This window comes from Homo sapiens, chromosome 15, assembly GCF_000001405.40.
Source record: "Homo sapiens chromosome 15, GRCh38.p14 Primary Assembly".
In the NCBI taxonomy this organism is placed as follows: Eukaryota; Metazoa; Chordata; class Mammalia; order Primates; family Hominidae; genus Homo; species Homo sapiens.
Genome location: NC_000015.10, coordinates 44,529,498 through 44,537,094, shown reverse-complemented (window position 1 = coordinate 44,537,094; position 7,597 = coordinate 44,529,498). Strand labels below are relative to the sequence as shown.

At 48.0% G+C, this 7,597-nt stretch overlaps 1 long non-coding RNA gene across 2 annotated transcripts, besides 4 other annotated features; it reads left to right on the top strand.

Annotated features, from left to right (window-relative positions):
* Positions 16-185: a silencer, noted in NCBI's record as "silent region_6395". NCBI's record gives its function as "represses an Ori minimal core promoter by ATAC-STARR-seq in GM12878 lymphoblastoid cells {active_cell/tissue: GM12878}" and the evidence as "EXISTENCE:reporter gene assay evidence [ECO:0000049][PMID:35858748]".
* Positions 172-2,590, top strand: EIF3J-DT (EIF3J divergent transcript). Of its 2 annotated transcripts, NR_034171.1 has the most exons (3): positions 195-294; positions 737-1,052; positions 1,621-2,590. It is a non-coding gene; the product is annotated as an EIF3J divergent transcript (long non-coding RNA). The 2 variants fall into 2 exon arrangements; NR_034170.1 differs by having other exon boundaries at positions 172-1,052.
* Positions 356-805: an enhancer, noted in NCBI's record as "active region_9339". NCBI's record gives its function as "activates an Ori minimal core promoter by ATAC-STARR-seq in GM12878 lymphoblastoid cells {active_cell/tissue: GM12878}" and the evidence as "EXISTENCE:reporter gene assay evidence [ECO:0000049][PMID:35858748]".
* Positions 356-1,280: a biological region, named in NCBI's record as "NANOG-H3K27ac-H3K4me1 hESC enhancer GRCh37_chr15:44828013-44828800".
* Positions 493-1,280: an enhancer, noted in NCBI's record as "NANOG-H3K27ac-H3K4me1 hESC enhancer chr15:44828013-44828800 (GRCh37/hg19 assembly coordinates)". NCBI's record gives its function as "activates a minimal SCP1, AML or CMV promoter by ChIP-STARR-seq in naive H9 embryonic stem cells {active_cell/tissue: H9 hESC(naive)}" and the evidence as "EXISTENCE:reporter gene assay evidence [ECO:0000049][PMID:30033119]".
* Positions 2,591-7,597: the final 5,007 nt, after the last annotated feature.

The following is a 7,597-nucleotide window of genomic DNA, read 5'->3' as shown; positions in this document are numbered from 1 at the left end:
GGATGGGACCGTGGCTGACTGTGCGCCGAGCCGAGGCCACGCCCCCTCAGGCGGCGGCGGCGACGCGCGCGGGTAAGAAGTGGGCGGGGAACGCGGTCGGTGGCGCTGCGGGGCTGAGGGAGAGGCGGAGGGGGGGGCGGAGGGGGGCGGAGGGAGGGGCGGAAAGAGCAGAGGGAGGGGCACAGGGGGCTGAGGAGTGCTGGGTCGGGCTTCCAGCTCCCTACAACGCAGACCAGTACTGGAGTTCGTGGTGCTGGAAGACCGCCGCCCGACTCTGGGCCCCGGGTAGGAAACGTAAGTGCCAGGAAGTTAGCAGAGTGGTTCTTTGGCTGGCGCCTGAACCTCGCCAGTCTTCGTCGCCCCTCCCCTGCCAACGCCTACCCCGCTTCGACCGGAGGGTGCGCTGTCCCTCTGGTCACTGTGATCACCGTCCATGGCCGCCTGCGGATACCCACGCCGTGCTCAGAAGAGGGCTCTGAGGCCACGCCCGCCTGTGGGGTCGGTGGCCGGGCTTCCGGGACCCCAGAGGGAGTCGTCGCGCGCTAGGTGGAGGGGACCCCTCTGGAATCCGGCGATCCCCGGGCGCAGATGCAGGAGCGGGTGGGGAGAGCCGCGTTCCTGGCATGTTTGCCTCGAGTTAGTCACGAAGGAATCGAAGAGAGCCTTAGTCTTCGAGGCTTTTCCCTTCCTGTGAGCCCCTTTGAGGCCAGCACATTGATTTTTTTTTCTTTCGCAGAACAATTTCGGACCTCCTGGGGTCTATGCTAGGTATGAGGTGTATCTTTGCCCTCCATCAAGTAGCAAAGATGGACATGTAAACAAATTTCGACACTGTGATGACTGCCACAAAAAGCAGCATTATGAGGTTGAATGTAAAAGGATAACCTTAGCGGCGGCGGGGGCCGGAGGATGAAGGAAGGCTTCCTGAGGTAGGCGCTGGTTGAAACTGAAGTTGGAGAGAGCAAGTGGCATTTGCTGAAGTGCATTTCCGGTAGAAAACTCCAGTGGTCCCTCACCTGACTGAGTGGCGCAGTCAGAGATAAATGGAACAGGTACACTGACCAGAAAGGGCAAGATGGGCTAAACTTCGCCGTTGGGCCACTGGGCTCCCCCGCAGGATTTTAAAGAGCTAGCCAGTAGATGGATTTTGTTTTTGTTATTTTCGCAATTTATTTTCAAATATGTAATACGCGAACTTGGTACAACATTCATGTGATAAAAAGGTAGATACGTGGGCAGGACGCGGTGGCTCACGCCTGTAATCCCAGCATTTTGGGAGGCCGAGATGGGCGGATCATTTGCTGTCAGGAGTTCGAGACCAGCCTGGCCAACATGGTAAAACCCCACCTCTACTAAAAATACAAAAATCACCTGGGCGTGGTGGCGGGCGCCTGTAATCCCCACTACTAGGGAGGCTGAGGCAGGAGAATCGCTTGAACCCGGGAGGCGGAGGTTGCAACAGTGAGCCGAGATCGCGCCACGGCTCTCCAGCCTGGGCGACAGTTAGACCCGTCTCAAAAAAAAAAAAAAAACAAAAAAGGTAGATACAACGATCAGCTGCTCCGCTCCGTTCTTTCTAGTGGTAACCATTGTTCCCCCTTTCTGGTGTTATCTTTTCAGAGTCTACAAATAAACATTTTATAAAGATGATCCTTCAATACATATTCTACAGCCCAGTTAAAATGTGAGAGGCCATGATCTACAGACAGCCATTTATAAAGGTGGATCAGGGCCGGACACGGTGGCTCAACGTCTGTAATCCCGGCACTGTGGGAGGCCAAAGCGGGAGGATCGCTTGAGCCCAGGAGTTCGAGACCAACCTGGCCAACATGGTGAGACCCCATCTTTACAAAAAAATATATATATCCAGGCATAGTGGTGTGCACCTGTGGTCCTGTGGTCCCAGCTACTCAGGAAGCTGAGGCAGTTGAGGCTGCAGTGAGCCACGTTCTGGCCACTACACTCCAGCCTGGGCATCAAAGTGACAAGACCAAAAAAAAAAAAAAATGTGGATTGGAAGGAGGCAAGAAAGAAGTCAGGAAAAGGGTGGAATGTAAGTCCCTAAGGACACAATCTTACTCACAATTGTATCTCCAACATTTGGCATAATGCCTAATACGTAAGTATTTTATGAATTAATTAAACGAGAACACAAGCCTAAATTAAGGCAATGGCAATGGAGAAGAAGAAACCAACTTGAGAAATATTTAAAGGTCATTGTCAATGGAACTTAGTGACTTTAATGGTTAATTTTATCTATCAACTTGGCTAGGCGATGCTACCCATGTTACTCAGTTTTTGGTCAAACACTAGTCTAGTTGTTGCTATGAATTGTATTTGTTAGATGTGATTAACATTTAAATCAGCAGACTTTGATTAAAGTACATTACCCTCTATAATGAGGGTGGGCCGCATCCGGTCAGTTCAAATTAAAACGAGACCCTTAAGAAGAAGCAATTCAGCCTCCAGACTGCAGCGTCAAATCTCCCTGGGTCTCCAGGCTGTTTGTCTGCCCTGCAGATTTCAGACTTGCCAGCTCCCAGAATAATGTGAGCCAATTCCTTAAAATAAATCTCTTTCTGCATATACACATCCTATTGATTCTGTTTCTCTGGAGAACCCGTACTAATATAGTGTCTGACTAGATATGAAGGAGGAGGGGAAGGGAGAAATAGATAGACGATGCCTTTGGATATTGAGTGACACTTATCTAGTTGCTTAAGTCAAAAACCTGAAAACTGGTTAGGCACGCCTATTACGGGCTCACGCCTGTAATCCCAGCACTTAGGGAGGCTGAGGCAGGCAGATCATTTGAAGTAATTCAAGACCAGCCTGGCCAACATGATGAAACCCCAAGACCACTAAAAATACAAAAATTAGCCGGGCGTGGTGGCACATGCCTGTAACCCCAGCTCCTCAGGAGGCTAAAGCAGGAAAATTGCTTGAACCCAGGAAACAGAGGTTGCAGTGAGCCGAGATTGTGCTACTCCACTCCAGCCTGGGAGAGACTCCATCTGAAAACAAACAACAAAAAAAAATGCTGGGCACAGTGGCTCACGCCTGTAATCCCAGCACTTTAGGAGGCTGAGGCGGGCGGATCACCTGAGGTCAGGAGTTCAAGACCAGCCTGGCCAATGTGGCAAACCCCATCTCTACTAAAAATAAAAAAAAAATTAGCTGGGCATGTTGGCGGGCACCGTAATACCAGCTACTCGGGAAGATGAGGCAGGAGAATCACTTGAACCGGGAGGCAGAAGTTGCAGTGAGCTAAGATCGCGCCATTGCACTTTAGCCTGGGCGACGAGCGAAACTCCCTCTCAAAAAAAAAGAAGAAGGCTGGGCGCGGTGGCTCATGCCTGTAATCCCAGCACTTTGGGAGGCCGAGGTGGGTGGATCACTTGAGGTCAGTAGTTCGAGACTAGCCTGGACATGGTGAAACCTGTCTCTACTAAAAATACAAAAATTAGCCAGGTATAGTGGCTCATGCCTATAATTCCAGCTACTTGGGAGGTTGAGGCAGGACAATGGTTTGAACCCAGGAGGCAGAGGTTGTAGTGAGCTGAGATTGTGCCACTGCACTCCAGCCTGGATGACACTCTATCAAAAAAAAAAAAAAGAAAAGAAAAAAAAAAAAAAACTGGGGCATGTGGGTTGAAGGTGCTATGGAAAAATTCATGGGCTATGTGTATGCAGCATTGTTTTCAAAGCAGAAATTGAGAATTTATTTATAGTGGTGTGCATACTGCTTTTTCAAATGAGGAAACAGGAAAACAAGGTTCTAGACCTATGTATTAGGGACTTCCTTTAGTCTGTAAAACTTGTGCCAGGCGTGGTGGCTCACACCTGTAATCCCAGCACTTTGGGTGGCTGAGGCAGGTGGATCACCTGAAGTCAGGAGTTCCAAGACCAGGCTGGCCAACCTGGTGATACCCCCGTCTCTACTAAAAATACAAAAAAATAGCCGGATGTGGTGGTGCACTCCTGTAATCCCAGCTATTTGGAAGGCTGAGGCAGGAGAATCGCTTGAACCCAGGAGGCAGAGGTTGCAGTGAGCCAAGATCATGCCACTGCACCCAGCCTGGGCAACAGAGCGAGTCTCTGTCTCAAAACAAACACACAAAAAAACTTGTGATTCACAGGTTAGTCTCTAGGGGAGCTCTATAATCACAAAGACAGTGACAGTATTCCCATTTTACAGATGAGCAGACTAGGTAATCAATGTTTCTTAACAAATTAACATTAAAACTTCTGTCAGGAAGTTCCAGGCCAGGCACAGTGGCTCACATCTAAAATGCCGGCACTTAGGAAGGCTGAGGCAGGAGGATCACTTGAGCTCATTTCAAGACCAGCCTGGGCAACATGGCAAGACTCCATCTCTACAAAAAATAAAAAATTAGCTGGGCATGGTGGCACACACCTGTAGTTCCTGCTACTCAGGGGGCTGAAGTGGGAGGGCCACTTGAGCCTGGGAGGTTGAGGTTGCAGTGAGCCATGATCGTGCCACTGCACTCCAGCCTGGATGACAGAGCCAGCCCGTCTCAAAAAAAGTTTCCTCATGGCTGGGTGCAGTGGCTTATGCCTGTCATCCGAGCACTTTGGGAGGCAGAGACGGGTGGATCACCTGAACTCAGGAGTTCCACCAGCTACTCAGGAGGCTGAGGCAGGAGAATCACTTGAACCCAGGAGGTGGAGGTTGCAGTGAGCTGAGATCCCGCCACTGCACTCCAGACTAAGTAACAGAGTGAGACTTCATGTCAAAAAAAAAAAAAAAGTTTCATCATTGAAGCTATAGAAGAGTAAATAAACAACACAAATGAAGCAGAGCTACTTATAGGTTCTTTTTTTTGAGATGACATTTTGCTCTCGTTGCCCAGGCTGGCGCAATCTCTGCTCACGGCAACCTCTGCCTCCCAGGTTCCAGTGATTCTCCTGCCTCAGCCTCCTGAGCAGCTGGGATTACAAGTGTGTGCCACCATGCCCAGATAATTTTTTGTAGTTTTAGTAGAGATGGGTTTCATCGTGTTGGCCAGGCTGGTCTCGAACTCCTAACCTCAGGTGATCCCCCCGCCTCAGCCTCCCAAAGTGCAGGGATTACAGGTGTGAGCCATTGTGCCTGGCCTTAGAGTTCTTTTTTTTTTTTTTTTTTTTTTTTTTTGAGATGGACTCTCGCTCTGTTACCCAGGCTGGAGTGCAGTGGCACAATCTCGGCTCACTGCAAGATCCGCCTCCTGGGTTCACGCCATTCTCCTGCCTCAGCCTCCCGAGTAGCTGGGGCTACAGGTGCCCGCCACCGCGCCCGGCTAATTTTTTTTGTATTTTTAGTAGAGACGGGGTTTCACCGTGGTCTTGATCTCCTGACCTCGTGATCCGCCCGCCTCGGCCTTCCAAAGTGCTAGGATTACAGGTGTGAGCCATGCGCCCGGCCCCTTTATAGCTTCTTTTTAAGAGGAAGTACCTTAAGCATCAGACTCAAAATCTTATAAAGATGGACTAGGTTAAGGCTGAAGAGCAGATTGTTTTAATTGGAAATAGGGGCAGGTCAAAACTCCTATTTATAAAAGTGCAAAATTATGGAGTCATTGCATGTTTTTTCTAATGATTTCTTGGGAAAAAGAGTACATGTAAAAACAAATTTTGGCAGAGCACAGTGGCTCATGCCTGTAATCCCAGAACTTTGGGAGGCCAAGGCAGGCGGGTGGATCACTTGAGGTCAGGAGTTTGAGCCCAGCCTGGCCAACATGGTGAAACCCTGTCTCTACTAAAAATACAAAAATTGGCTGAGCATCATGGTGCACGCCTGTAGTCCCAGCTACTAGGGAGGCTGAGGCGGGAGAATCGCTGGAACCCGGGAGGCAGAGGTTGCAGGGAGCTGAGATCCCACCACTGCACTCCAGCCTGGACAACAGAGCAAGATTACATCTCAATAATTAAATAAATAAAGTTTTTGATTTATATGATTTGATTAAGTTAAATGAAATTTTTTATTTTAAACCAAAACGAAAAACCAAAACCCTACCCCCATGAGTCTTAAGACACGAAACTGTCTCCATTCAACTTCCATATATTTTTCCATACTTACAGGGTACCATAAAATCCTACAGTACCTTCCTATTCCTGTCTGGCCAGCGGAAAAAACATGCCTTCCTCAGGGAGTGCCTAAAATCCACATGATTAGTAAGCTCTCAGTAAGCCACACAAGCCATACTCTCCCCAGAACCTTAACAATCTTCTGACCTGACTGTCCACTATGATGCTATCACCCAGTGCATTAACTTAGAGAAAGGGAATACTTTACATGGAGAGTTATATAACTGCTAACTGGCCTCCCACCCACCCACTCTATTTCCAAAGCGATCTTTTAAAATACGCACCTGATCATTTACTCCCCTGAGCCTCCTCTCCCCACAGCCAAGCCTAGCTTTAGCCCTTTAACCAATAAAAGGATCTTGACTTTCTCTACTGGTAGATTTTAAGCTTAAGATTTTAAGGCATTGTCTGTTTTGCCACCTTCTACCATTCACAGAGCCTGGCATGGTGCCTAACACGTAGTGGTTTTTATTTTTTATTTTTTGAGATAGAGTCTCTGTCACCGAGGCTGGAGTGCAGTGGCACAATCTCGGTTCACTGCAACCTCTGCCTCTCTGGTTCAAGCGATTCTCCTGCCTCAGCCTTCCAAGTAGCTGGGACTACAGGCGTGCACTACGATACCTGGCTAATTTTTGTATTTTTAGAAGAGACGGGGGTTTCACCATGTTGTCCAGGCTGGTCTCAACTCCTGACCTCAATTATCTGCCCACTTCAGCCTCCCAAAGTGCTGGAATAATAGGCGTGAGCCACTGCACCCGGCCTAACAGGTCTTTTAAAAAATGCAACCCACTGCTGTCTTTCTTAAAAACCCTCCCTGACATCTGTGGTCCTGTGGTATTACAATATCCTGATCCTACTGCACATTCCTGCTTTCTGGCTTCAGACATCTCTCAAAACCTGGTATATAGTTCTCATCCCTCCTTCAGAAAACTACCTGCTTTAACATCTCCATCCTCATGTTACTTGTATATTGCTTACGGCTTATAACATGTTTTGACATTTCATTTGATCCTTATAATTCTGAAAGGTAGGTAACAACCCTCTTGCTTATTAAGTGGCTGGGTTTTCAGGGACTTGAACTCAAATTTGATTCTGAACTTCATGCTTTCATTGACCATGCTCTCAAGTCAACTATCTGCCTGAATAGAATGTTATAGTGCAATCACTTATTTCTCAAGGATTATTGCAGTGGCTTTCAAAACTGTGTGCGCCTCAAACTCCTTTGGAGCTTAGGGAAAATAGCTATCACAAAGTCTCATCACAGAAACTAGTGTGGGACCAGAGTGCTACTATGCTATAGTGATACTGGCTCATTATTTTAGCCCATACATCGAGTATATTCCTCATCTTAGCGCACTATAATCTGGTTCACTCTTGCCATCTTCTCTCTCCTTTTCAAAACCAACCCCTTTTAATTCTGGTTGGTATCTTCAAGTGTTTTTCACCTCTGCTCACAGTAGTTCCAGCAATAAAGAATGCCCTTCCAAAATCATTACTGTAACGGTAATTA